Here is a 14341-nt window from a genome sequence, read left to right as displayed (position 1 = left end):
TGTCAAGAAAGAGAGTACAGCCAAGTACCCTTGAGAGTCTTCCATGTGTCTCTATTGATGACAATGCCTTCCCTCTCTCTGGTTGTACCACACCTGGTTTTTGCAATAATTTCTTTAGCACACGGACACATTCAGAATAAACCTAGTTTAGTTTGGCCTGTGATATGGTTTGACTGTGTCCCCTCCCAAATCTCATCTTGAGCTGTAGCTCCAATAATCCCCACGTGTCATGGGAAAAACCTGGTGGGAGGTAACTGAATCACGGGGGGCAGGTCTTTCCCATGCTGTTCTCATGACAGTGAATAAGTCTCATGAGATCTGATGGTTTTATAAAGGTCAGTTCCCCTACACACACTCTCTTGCCTGCTGCCATGTAATAAGATGTGCCTTTGCTCCTCCTTCGCCTTTGGTCATAATTGTGAAGGCTCCCCAGCCATGTGGAACTTGGGGTCCATTACACCTCTTTTTCTTTATATATTACCCAGTCTCCGGTATGTCTTTATTAGCAGCATGGGAATAGACTAATACAGCCTATTTTTAAAATTAATATAAATGCAATTATACTACAGTTTGAATCTTTCACTTACAATTATGATCATGAGGTCCTTCCATTTTCTTCATTTTCATGGCTTCATAATATCCCATTGTATGAATGCACCACAATGGATTTATACATTCTACCCTTAATGAACATTACCAGCCTGGGGCTGTAAAGAACATTCTTGACATGTATTCTCTTATACATATGCATGAGTTTCTCTTGAGTACATACCTAGAAATAGAATTGTTGCTGTATAGTGTTTGCATGTCTTCAACTTAAGTACATGCTGAACTATTTTTCCAGAGTAGTCGTACCAATTTACAAAACCACATGACTGCACAAGAATTCCTGGAGCTCTAAATGCTTGCCAATTCATTAAAGTCTGCTAATGTCAGATTTTCACTTTTTGTCAGTCTGCTTGGTGTGTAATGGAATCTCACTTGATCTTAATTTGCATTTTCCTGATTAATAACGTTAATTATCATTTTATGTTTCTTTGCCACAATTCAAGTCCTTTGCCCATTTTTTCTCTCAGCAGTCTGTCTTTTCTAAAAAAAAATACTGCACATACATTTAAGTCTATTTTTTATATATTCTGAATACTAATCCTTTATCAAATATAATCTCTCTGTTCTTGGCAATTTGTTATTTTTTATTTTTCTTTTTTTCTGTTCTTGGCATTTTCTTTATGATGCTTTTTGATGAACCAAAGTTGTCAGATTTTGATATAGTTAAATTTGTCAAATATTTTTCCTTTACGGTTAGTGCTTTTGTGTCTTGTTTAGGAAATGCTTCCGAAACCCAAGGTCATGAAAATTATCTACTTGAAATTTCGTACGTTTGCCTTTGACATTTATGTATTCAATCTACTTGGAATTGATTTTTGTGTATGGTGTGAGGCAGAAATCCAATTAACTTTCTTCCTATAAGAAAATTATCTTATCACTATTGATTAAGAAGCCATTATTTCCCCAGTACTATGAAATGCCAACTGTGTCATTTGTCATACTTTGACATGAGTGGGTCTGTTTCTGAACTCTCTATTCATTTGTCCCTACATCAGATACACAATGTCTTAACAGCTGTAGCTTTATAATGACTCGATATCTGGAAGAATAAGTCCTCTCATCCTCTTGTTCTTATGCAAGTATCTTTGCTTTTCTTGGACTTTTGCATTTCCCTATAAATGTCGAGATTAGCTTTTAAGATCCACAAAAACAACAACACTGACGACAACAACAACAAAACTGTTGGGATCTCATTTGGATTTGCACTGAATTCATAAAACAATTTGGAGAGAATTGGTGTGTTTACCAACCATAAACAAGACCCAATATTAGATCTTCCAGCTGCCTAACTACTAAGCCAATGCCATGTTTTTTTTTGTTTGTTTGTTTTTTGTTTTTTTTTTTTTAGATTTTTTGGTAGCACTCCACTTCAAGGTACCAGTTCCTGGTAAATAAGTAAACCCTGAAATTCCAGTGGGTGGACATAATAGAAGTTTCTTTCATAATCATGCAAAGCAGTTAATAAAAAGGAGATGGTAACAGTTCTACTTCATGAACTCTTCAGGGGCCTAGGCTGACAGAAGCTTCACCACCTTCAATATGTTGCTTCAAAGGTTTCCCTTGGCATTAGCATTCAGCAGGCAGACTGAATATAGAGAGAGAAGTTCACAGATCATGCAGCAGGTTTTTCTGAGCCAGGTCTGGAAGCAGCATATGTCACTTCTTCCTCATTCCACTGGCCAGAACTCAGTCACATGACCACTTCAAGGGAGAAGAGGAATGGTGTCCGGCTGGGGAAAGATAAATAGGTATCTAGTGGATTTTTCAATCAGCATACATGTATTCTTTCCTTGACTTACTGCATGAGCTAGGACCCCCACTCCAATGCTGATTAGAAATTGCAATGGCATTCTCTGTAGTTTCTCAATGCATCATTATTAAATACAATGCTTGCTATAGGCTTTTGCATGTACTCCTTATCAGAATAAGAAAGTCATCTTTTATATGTGTTTTTAAATCATTTATGAATACTGAATTGTATTCAGTACTTTTTAAGCATCTATTTCAATAATCATACATGTTTTTAAAATACCTGCTAAGGTGGTTAATTACATGGGCTAATACTAAAGTGCTAAACTAAGCTTGTGTTCGTTGGAGGAAACTAAAATTGGTCATGATGTATTATTTTCTTATATACTATTAAATTCAGTTTGCTAATAGTTTGCGTAGGATTTCTGCAAATATAGTCATAAGTAAGATTGTCCTACAATTTTCTTTTCTTACATAGTTAAGTTTTGGTATCAAGACTATGCAAGGATCATAAGATGGACTGCATCTCTCTCTAATCTCTTGAAAACATTATGAAAAACTGCAATTATTTCTTCCTTAAATGTTGGGAGAACTCACTGATGAAGCCAGTGGTGTCTTTATTCAGTTTTATTAAACTATATTTTTAAAGAATGTATCTAACTTTTCAAATTTATTGACACAAAGTTGCTTATCATATCTTCCTGGTTTCTGTAAAATCTCCCACATCTGTAGTGATATCCCACTTTTTATTCCTAATGTTGTATATTTGTGTCTTCTCACTTTTTCCTTGAACAACTTCCCAGAGCTTTATCAATTTTGTAGCCATTGTGAAATATCGACTCTTGGCTTTTTTGATCTTCTGTTTGTTTGCTTCCCATTTCATTTCTTTCTGCCCTTCATTATTTATTTTATACTGTTTGGGTTGAATTTGTTGCTGATTTTCTAAGTTCTTGAGATGGACGCTTAGCTCAGCTTCTTTTCTCTTCTAATATATGAATTTAAGGCTCTATATGTCCCTCTGAGAACTGCTTTACCTATGCCCTATCGATTTTAACATACAGTATTTTAATTATCATTTGATTCAAAGTATTTTACAATTTCCATCATGATTTATCTTTGATAACTAGGATATTCAGATTTGTTTTTTTCAGGCAAGCTCTTGCTCTGTTGCCCAGGCTGGTGTGCAGTGGCACAATCATGGCTCACTGCAGCCTCAACCTCCTGGGCACAAGCACCCCTCCCACCTCAAACTCCTGAGTAGCTGGGACTACAGGGATGTGCCACCATGCCCAGCTAGTTTTTTTGAAATTTCTTGTAGAGATGGAGACCTCACTATGTCACCCAGACTGGTCCTGAACTCCTGGATTCAAGTGATCCTCCCTCCTTGGCCTCCCAAAACGCTGGTATTACAGACGTGAGCCATAATGCCTGGCCAGAAATTTTTAAATTTTCTAACATAAGACGATTTTCTGAATACTTGCATTATGGTAAGAGAAAAAAAAAGCTACATGATTTTAATCCCTTTGAAACATACTGAGCCTTTTATGGCCTGGAATATGTTCCTTGTGTGATTGAGAAGAAGGCGCCCCCCCAGGTGTGGGGTACAGCATCTTATGTCCACTGGGTCAAGTGCTGGAATTGTGTCGGTCACTCCCTCTACGTCCTTAATAAGGCTCTCAAAGCTCGCATTTTCTGGGATTAACAAGTTTGCTCAGAATAAAGATATATCTAATCCTCTGCTTACCTGTCTGGGTTCCTGTGTTGCCTTCCATTTTAACCTGGTTAATTCCTCATAGTTCTGTCAGCCCTTTGATGTGATGCTTTATATATATAGTTGTATTTTATTCAACATTTGGAGCTGCTTTCAGTGGGCAATTTGGTCTGAATAACTCAGCCTGCCATTCCTGGAACCTAGAAATCCTAGTTCCTGCCAGTGTTACCAGCTCTGATTTTTCTGTGACCTAATTCAGTACTCTTTTATGTGAAGTCTAGTAATTCTTCTGACTTCATTTCTTTTTAGTGATTTCATACCATTTCAGCAATTTATTCAAATTCTAAATGACCTAACCATTACTATCTAAGATATGTGAAACTCTTCCTGGCTAAAAGTTTTCAAAAGCCTGATTATTTGGACTTCTTCATCTTGCAAATCCTTAATAGGATTATAAAATTGTAATGGACATCACAAAGAGTTTAAAATCATCGGATAATGTGCTGCTGTTTCCAGTGGGTCATGTTTTCTGCTTTCTGATAGAATTGTGTAGCACTGTGGGGCCATGTGCTACCCAACAGAAAGAACATCAGGCTTCGATTTTAGCCCTGAAGTCCGAATTCCACCTCCGTCAAGCAATGTAGTAAGTGGCTTGTGCCAAATCACTTCACCTCACTGGGCCTTTCTGTTCCTCTACAAAATGGGTCTAAGGTTCATAGGTTGCTTTAAGGAGCAAATGGGATCACGTACACATGAGCACTTAGCATTGCGCACAGCTCAGGAAAGACCTTCAGTAAGAGTCTGTCACTCAGAGTGCAGACACCAAACCCTTGTAACACTAGAAAGGCAAAGGAAAAATGTTAAATAGAAGCTTTATAGTATTATATGACAGAAGGATTTAAAAGTGCAAATAACACTTTTGCAAACAGCAAAGATACTATGAACACGTATGATAATGTGATAGAAGGGAAAGTGTGACTGAAAGAACAATTAATAAAAATATCAGTTAAATTCTTTTGTTTCATTTTTCTCTGTTTCTGAAATTCTTAAAAGAATGAAATCCCTTTCAGAATTCATAATGCTGGGTTTGGGTAGCTTTTGCATTTTATATGTGTGCAGCTGTTCTTCCAATCCGAGTCTGCACATCTGCTCATTAGCAATACAATATCATTCCCACTGTCTAATTATTTGCAGATGATAGATTCCTTGTATATGGTCTAAAAAAGGATAGTCCTTCAAAACTGGTGACTTATTTTAAAAAACTAACTTCAAGGGGTCAGCACAAGGAAGTTCAGATATTAATCTGGCAAGTTCAAATATACGAACGACAGTATTTTATTGCCAAGTTGATGGGGAACAGAAGGAAAATAGGATTTGTCTCCCTTCAATGAATGTTTCCCAGTAGACAGCACAGGGGACCTGCTTCTCCACAGTGCACCTGGAAAGAGGCTCGGGAGCCAACCTCCTGAACACGGAGTGGACCTATCCCACCCGATTCCCTGGGACCACCTGGAAAAAACTCGCCTGGAGCAGGGCTTTGTGGTGACTGCACACGTCTGGCAGGGAAGCCCATGCAGCCCAAGGACACCAAGTAGAGAAGAGTCCTTGCAGGCTCTCTAGTTCCAAGCACAGGCTGAGGAGCCCCACAGAATCCCCAGCTCACGGTAAGGCCAGGATGTGTGGCCCTGGGGCCCCAGGAAACCCAACAGCATAGACGGTGCAGCCCACGGGGGGCAAACCAGACCAAGCCTTCTGAGGACAACTGGGAGCTGTGCTGCAGGTGGAAAGGGGTGAAGAGGAGCTGATTGAGGATAAAGGGTGTGAACCAAGAATAGGAAGCCATCAGGGGTAATCAGAACATGAGCTGAGGAAAAATGATAGAGAACAAGCAGACAAATACTGGGATTCACGAAAGAACAAGACAAACAAACAGCAGCTGGTGATGGAAACGGCCCTTCCACAGGCGGCATGAGCACGACAGCTATTAGAGCCAGCGCTTATTCCGCACCAGGCGCCACGCTCTGCACGGCAGGCTCCGCGCCCGTGTGCGCCCCGACACTGAGAAGGCACAAACTATTACAGATGCAGAAACAGAGGTTCACTCACTAGTTCAACGAGAAAACATTTAATACAAAGCCCACCTTCTAGAGGAGTCAGAGAATAAGCAATAAACAATTAAACATGTGATTTTACCTCATGATGAGTTAGGAAGCAAGGAGAGAATGATAGTACAGAAGTTCATGGGGGTGAGGGCTGGGACTGCTACTTTAATTAGGGTGGGCAGGGAAGACCTTTCTGAGGACGATATCTTCAGCTGAGACTTAAAGGAGAAGGAGCCAGTCACATAGTTCTTGCTCTCCTCGATCCTGGAGCAAGGAAGAGCAACATTTACTAAGCACCCCTTAGGGGCCAGTCTTAGTGGCAGATGTTTTATAATCCTAATTCCATTTAATCCTGACTATAACCCTATGAAGTAGGCATCACTGACTTTGCTTAGCAGAAGAGAAGCAATGAGGTTCCAAAGACTTGCAGTCTTGCCTGATGTTGGTGGCAGACCAAGAGCTATGGACAGGCTAAGCAGTAGGAACAGTGTGCGAGGCAAGAAAGAGCTCAAGTCTTCCAGGAATGGAACAGATGAAGGCGACAGTAACTGAAGCACAGTGAGCATGGATGGGGCATAGTCTGGGGAGAACTGTGGTATGAGCCAAAGTTGGAAAGGCAAGTGCCAATCAGGTAATCCCAGGCCACACTGGCCACTGTAAAGAGTCCGGATCTCATCCCAAAGAAATCGGGCAACCGGCAAAGTGCTTTAAGCCAGAGGGGGCCACAGCTGGTTTTGTGTTTTTAACAGGGCATTATGGAGCAGGGAATGAGAAAGGGTGAGACAGGCCAGTTAGTAGACTACTGGAGGACCTACGTGGTCAAGTGGATAGAGAGAAATGAGGCCTGTCCGCACAGCGAGTGCCGGGCCGATCTGGTTCACAGCCATGACATCTCTGACCCCAGGGTCCACACTCTTAACAACAGGTTTGATTAAAGACGTTTTAATTAAGGGAACACTGCAATTAAGGCTTTCAGAAGGGTAACTGGGAGTTCATCACCAGCTTATAGTTGAAGGCTGTGTTAGTCAAGACATAGGTTCAGCTGCTGTAGAAAATGAGAATAAGAAGGCTTCAATGAACCACAATAGCAGTACTTTAAACAAGAGTTCTTGCCTAAAGATCCAGCCTGGGATGGTGACTCTGGCTCCTTAGTCTCACAGCTCTAGCAGCACAAGGGTCAGGCTCCATCCCTGGGCTTCGTGATGGTCCACCACTTCAGCCCCACACTAACTTGTGGGAAGGGAGGAAGTGGAAGAGAATGCCCCTTCCTCTAAGGCCACAAACCCAGAAGCTGCACGCTGTCACTTCTACTAAGGCCCCCATAGTCAGAATTTAGACATGTGGCCATACTTAGCTCTAAGGTGTCTCAGGGATTTTGTCTTTATGGGTGGCTGCACACCAGCTAAAATTCTTAAACTACACAGGTGGGGGAACCCTAATATTGGGGTTAACCAGCACTCTCAGCCAGAGGCCTCTGCAAAGGCCACTGCTCCCCAAGGAGTATACCGGAGCAGTTTCCAGACCACAGTCCTCTGGGAAGGCTTGGAGTTGCCACAAAAGCTCCACGCATCCAACTGTGCAGCAGGCAAGATCTAGAGCCTGGAGAATGCATTATGTGTACAATAGTTCCCTTTTCCAGAAGTACATGATGTGGAAGTGGTGAATATGATAGGCATGCAATTTAAAGTATAATTAAATCCATGGTAGCATTTTAATATATTTGCTTTTTTAAATGTACTAAAAGCCCAATTGTTATCACTGGAGGATCCATAAAAATATGCACCCCAGCTGGGCGCAGTGGCCACCTCTGTCATCCCAGAACTTTGGAAGGCTGAGGCAGGTGGATTGCTTGAGCCCAGGAGTTCCAGACCAGCCTGAGCAACATGGCGAAATCCATCTCTACCAAAAATACAAAAAATAAGTTGGGCATGGTGGCGTGCACCTGTCATCCTAGCTACTCAGGAGGCTGAGGTGGGAGGATGTCTTGAGCTTGGGAGGCAGAAGTTGCAGTAAGCCAATTGTGCCACTGCACTCCAGCCTAGGTGACAGAGCAAGACCATGTCTCAAAAAAAAAAAAAAAAATGTGCATCCTTAGAAGAGGTCTTCCTAGTCAGGAAGCTTGGATTCCTCTAGTGTATGGAAAAGAAAATAGACCTGAGCTTTAGACAGAGCTGCATCCAAATACCGCCACTAACATTAAGCAAGATTATGAGTCTTTTGGAACCTCATTGCTCCTCTTCTGCTAAGCAAAGACAATGATCCTTACTTCACAGGGTTATGGTCAGATTTAAATGCAATTAGGATTATGAAACATCTATCGCTAAGACTGGCCCCTAAGAGGTGCTTAGTAAATATTGCTCTCCCTTGCTCCAGGACTGAGGACAGCAAGATGGGTTGCAACTGAGAAATCAGATTTAGTGGGTGAAGTCACACAAAACTGAAGACCCTCTGCCTGGTGTACCTGTGGCTTGGCTCGAGGCACTCAGTCTGTGCCCCGAGTCCCACGCAGGACTAGGAGGTCTGAATTGTGTTATTCATGCACAGGTCATTCTAGTTAGGAGGATACAGACCAGCCATGAAATGCTGGGAACCTGATCCAGTTCTTTAGATTACTCTGTGAGAAGAAGCCTTAAGGAGGCTTTTGAGCAAGGATCCACCAGCCTCATCACCACTGTCAGCACCAGCAAGGTCCCAGAAGACAACATAAACAATGCTGAACTCTTTCCAACCAATGCAAGAGACACAAGAATCTCGGTGGGTAGAAAACCCACACTTTAGTAGATGGAGGGTAAATACTTACCCAGACAAAGAATCAAGGGCAACACAGATGTAAGAATAAATGTAAAATTAAAATCTGATGGAATTGTATTGTTGTGTTGAAAAAGACGTAACAACAATACCTGGCACTGGCATGGCACCTATACCATTTTCATGTTATTTTCACACTATTTTATTTAATTCCTACATCAGACCATTAAGTCGGCAGTATAGACATTATTATCCCTTTTTCTGTAGATGAGAAAAATGGAGGTTCAGGTTGGGTAAGTGTCCTGGCCAAAATCATGTGGTTGGGAAGGGGCCAACCAGGGACCAGAACTCAAAACTCCTAAATCTCAGGCACCCACCACGTTGCCTGGAGACAGTGGGAGTCTGGGTACCCCATGGCCAGGAATGTACACCTGCCAGTCTATCCTCAGAAGCCTAAAGGAACTATCTTCATCCCATGAGTAAGAAAGAAGGCCAGAATAGAACCTATTGGCTTAAACAGTGGGATTCAAATGTTTCAGCAAAAGTAGAGGTTCTGTGGTAATTGGTAAATTAAAAGAAAAGACTATTCCACTTACTGACCACATGAGTAATGATGCTAGCATGTCTGTCATTCCTCCTTAGGCTAATCCGTGGAGTGGCATCCTCTTCAGACTCACTGTCTAGTGGCTGTGGAATAACAGGTCTCGGGCCTCACCTATACCTTAAAAAGCCTACACCTTCCAATCTCTCACTTACCAGCTTTGCTCCCTCCAAAATGGCAGAAGGCTAGGCACAGTGGTTCATGCCTTGTGGCCTGTAATCCCAGCACTTGGGGAGGCCGAGGTGGGCGAATCATGAGGTCAGGAGTTTGAGACCAGGCTGACCAACATGGTGAAACCCCATCTCTATGAAAAATACAAAAATTAGCTGGGTGTGGTGGCGGATGCCTGTAATCCAAGCTACTCAGGAGGCTGAGGCAGGAGAATCACTTGAACCTGTGAAGCAGAGGATGCAGTGAGCCAAGATCACACCACGGTACTCCAGCCTAGGCAACAGAGCAAGACTCCATCCGGAAAAAAAAAAAAAAAAAAAAAGGAAGAAAACACATGGGGACTTCATCTAGATGTCCATTAGGGCAGATACTATGAGAGCTGCTTCAGCACCTTGAAGCAGGAAAGAACATGCTGAATGTTCTCTGTTTAGCCTATGCCATGAAGATCTGATTTAACTGAAAGGGGACTCTAAGCTTACATTCTTGCTGTTTCTACTACAGTAAGACCATTGACATCAGCAAGAATCTCCACATTTGCAAATATCACTGTAGATACTGCTTCTCCTATAAAATGCAGTGAATTATAACCAAAAAAATTTAAGGCCCCTTCAAGTCCTTAATGACTTTACAAAAAGGTACTAAAATCTTTCAACATGCTAATTAAAATACATTTCTCTTGAGTCACATTTCTGTGGAAATCATGTTTCCTGGGCGCATCTTCACATCAAATGTCAATGACTTTTCAACTTCTACACAAGTTTTGTCTTTTTGTTGATAAGCAATTCTGGCACAGGCAAGAGCATTGCTCGAGTAGTTTTAGTAATCACTTTTGTTTCTGAAAAGAACCTGGAGTGGACTACTGCCTCACAGATCAGAATCACCACCAAATCCAACCTGCTGCTCTCTTTCAAAATGTCCATTTTCTGAGTAAGAACAGTCAGTCTTACATATCTTCACCACCCTCATCTTCTCTAGTGGCGGCTTTCTTTTCAAGACCAACTTTTACTGTGAAACGTGACAGGTTGCCATGTGACCTCAAGTAGAGATTTAGGCAGCTGTGGTCAGATGTGGTGAGTGAGTGATAGCCAAGTTCATTTGTAGCCTGGCTCTCCCCTGCCTCTGGTCCATCCTTCGAGGAGCAGGCTTCAAATTCTGACCTTGGAAAAATGACACTTGACATGTGTCACTGTTTTTGGACCTTCAGGGTTCCCCAGGAATATCAACTCCATTGATACCAGAGTTATTCTGAACTTAAGGGTTGGTTATTGTTTGTTTTTTGCCTTTAATGTTCAAGTGCTAACACATACTTGTTTTAATGATTTCATGTTAACATTTAGCCTGTGGTCTTATGCGCATTTATCTGTATGCTCACTTGATCTCAGCATATTGGAATTAATTATTTTCTTCCTGTAGGAATATATTTTCCATGTGCATTAACCAAGAGGCCGGATACTCGTGCGTATCCCAGATGCCTTAGTGATTTAGTACACCTGGTGGCTAGGCGCAGTGGCTCACGCCTGCAATCCCAGCACTTTGGGAGGCCAAGGAGGGTGGATCACTTGAGGTCATAAGTTCAAGACCAGCCTGGCCAACATGGTGAAACCCCAGCTCTATTATAAACATGAAAAATTAGCCAGGTATGGTGGCATGCACCTGTAATCCCAGCTACTCAGGAGGCTGAGGCAGGGGAACTGCTTGCACCTGGGAGGTGGAGGGTTCAGTGAGACGCGATCACGCCACTGCACTCCAGCTTGAGCAAAGGATTAAGACTCAGTCTCAAAAAAATAATAAAATAAAAAACAAAAACAAAAAATAAAAGGGCACCTGGCAAATATAATGGGCATAAGATTGTTTGGATTGAATGGGTGGATTAGTAAGGATTTTTGTTACTGTTACATGTAATAGAAACTAAAAAACTAGCTTAAGAAAAACAAAGCCAGCTGAGTAGAGGTTCCTGACGGAGGATCTCTCGCCCTACCCTTAACTAACCATCATCCCCTGCCCTTCCTTACCTCTTCCTCACCTGTGGGGAGGCCACTGACCTATGGAAAGAGATGGTCCATAAGAGAGGCAGAAGGGTGGGGACCACAGATTGGAGGGGTCCTGGGGCAGTCAGGGTTGCCCTGGTGTTGATGAGTGGTTCTCTGAATTCAGCTGGGGAGACTGGATCACGCTACAACCTTAGCCATGCCCTTGCCTTGTTTTGGTCTCCATATTACCACCTATGATGTGAAGATCTGGAAAATCTTTTTTAACCCCAGAGATGCCACCATTACAAACACAGAGCCCATAGAAGGCCAAATGATGAACAGAGAGGTGAGTTCTCCCAGCCCAAACCCTCATCATAGTAGTATTCCCCCCGAGGTTCAGGGGCCGGTATTAGCAACCCAATTAATCAATGAAGATGTGATCAAATGAAAGCATTTAAGAGCGGTATGGAGAGAGAAGTTGACGACAGACTTGGCCTTCTTTACAATTCTGCCAGGCCTAAGCCTAAGGAGATTCTATCAGGACGTGGCATTGCAGTTGGCCACATTAAAGGACACAGACCCGACCTGTCACCTACATGCCTTCAGGCCTTGCCTGGGCCTCTGATACATGTCTTCACTGATAATTTTGGAGCTCTTATCATCTTCCTCTGACCCTTGACTTTGACAGTCAAATGGCTGAACGTCTGCTCCATCTGGATTGATGACTTACCAGAAGGAGCGACTGGCTGTCACCACCCTGATTTATGATCCTCACTGCAGAGCTTCCTGCAGAACCAAAGCAATCTAGGCCCACAGACCTGCCTTCCCACATGAAGTGATGTCCCATATCCCAAGCTAGGGTGACACGTGAACCTTCTGATTAGAGTGTTCTTGTCCTACCGGTTCTTTCCCTACCCTGCCCCATACCTCATCCCTCTTCCACCAGGTACCCATTCCCCCATGTCAAACCAGACTTTGTGGTCATGGAAATCGTGCCCCCGGCCTCCTTCCTAGGCCCAGACCTCTAGGCCGCCATCTGCCCTGATAGATCTGCGTGGATCCTGAACCTGCCTCACCCTGCTCGAGTTTGTCACTTTGCTGCTCTTGCCTCATCTCTGACCTTTGCCCTCTGGCAAAAAGCCCTAGAATGGGATGGTTCTTAGAACCAGCACTCAGGACCCACCAACCTGTGCTGCTACAGGCATATGAAGATTCCACCATGAAGCACAATTTACATTTGGAGAAAAACTTCACTCATCAAGAAATAACACTGCATATCCACTACACAAAAATCTGACACCAAAGAGAAAATACTTTGGTGAAATAGACTGACTGCCAAATGAAGAGGGTTTGTGAAAAACCACATCTATTGCATAGGACTTTTCAGTTCATAAGCTGCATAATATCAGATCATCACACTGGCAAAGCAGGGCCTGCAAGGCTGCTGGGATGCGATCTTGAAATTGCTTCATTATTGAATATTACAATGATATTTGCCAACATGGAATATTTCACTTGTGTATGCATTCAAATAAAATTTCCAACCACCATTGTTTATAGCCCAAATATATTAATATCTCCACATAACAAATTCCAAAGAGAACAAATGAAATATTTAAATGAGCAAGCTTTGTGGACCTAGTGAATACTGCATTTTACCTTTATGTTCTTCTTTATCACCACATACATTTTTTTAAAAAAATCCAACCTGATAACGTCAAAAGACGAGAAAGGCTAAACTCAGAGAAATAAAGAAACCATAAATCAGGAATCTTTGGAGCTGCTGGAAAGACACTTTAATTTTGTAGACAAAAGACTGCATTAAGGAGGAATAATGCAATAATCAAAGGTGAACGGATCGCTATTGTCTGGCGTCTTCCTCTGTGGGAATTTTCCCACCCCTGACAGCTGTAAGGGGGGCAGGGGCGCCGAATGTGGCTGTGCCTTTATTCTCTCACCCTTTTTCTCCCCAGCCCCTCCTCTCCTCCGTCAATAAATGTCTGCAATCATATTCTTGAGCTCCTGTGTGATTTCAAGGTTCATCTCTTCCATGCAGCTCAAACACTAATTATCCCAGCTGTAATTAGTAAGATAATTAAATACTGGCTCACTCATCACTCTACCTTGGGTCGGGTCGTGATTCTCCCAGAAGACCTTGAGCAGTTCCTCAAAACTCATGTGTTCTGGCTGGTACACCACTCGGACGACTTCTGCATGGCCAGTTTTTTCTTGGAAAAAACAAAACGTACAACCGAAATTTACTGACAACATCCATTTATTGCAAGTTTTTTGTTCACAAAAAAAACAACAGACAAAAGCTGAAACTCTACCCTGTGAAGGAAGAATGGAAGGAGGATTAGACTTTAGCTAAGAGTCTCTCTCAAGGCTCTGTTACTGGTTCTTTTTCCATAAAAGCATACAGTTCTCTTCCAGGGAGCTTGCTGCGATGACTTCTACATTGTGCTCTAATAAATTGTTTTAAGTTCATGAAAAAACAAACGTGGGTTTTCAGGTTTCTAAGCTCACTCAGGAAACCTTATGGATCCACCCTGACATAGCGCTCAAGAACTGAAACTCTGCAAAGGGAAAGAGCCAATTTATTTTTATCATCACTCCATGCTATATGTAGTGAGCTCAGCTGCACCACAGTGAGATGGTGCCAGGGAGAGAAACCTGTAAA

The 14341-nt window shown here is 42.3% G+C and overlaps 1 protein-coding gene across 8 annotated transcripts in view; it reads right to left on the bottom strand.

Moving 5' to 3' along the window:
* The window catches only part of MSRA (methionine sulfoxide reductase A), a 374600-nt gene that overhangs the window by 113469 nt on the left and 246790 nt on the right, over positions 1 to 14341 (bottom strand). For all 8 annotated transcript variants that reach the window (NM_012331.5, NM_001135670.3, XM_011543822.3 and 5 more), the window contains one exon: positions 13785 to 13889. In NM_012331.5, the coding sequence (NP_036463.1) occupies positions 13785 to 13889 (105 nt within the window). The remainder of the gene's footprint in view (positions 1 to 13784; positions 13890 to 14341) is intronic.

Source organism: Homo sapiens, chromosome 8 (assembly GCF_000001405.40).
Source record: "Homo sapiens chromosome 8, GRCh38.p14 Primary Assembly".
NCBI classification, from domain to species: Eukaryota; Metazoa; Chordata; class Mammalia; order Primates; family Hominidae; genus Homo; species Homo sapiens.
The sequence above is the reverse complement of the archived record's forward strand: the minus strand, read 5'-3'. Positions and strand labels throughout refer to the sequence as shown.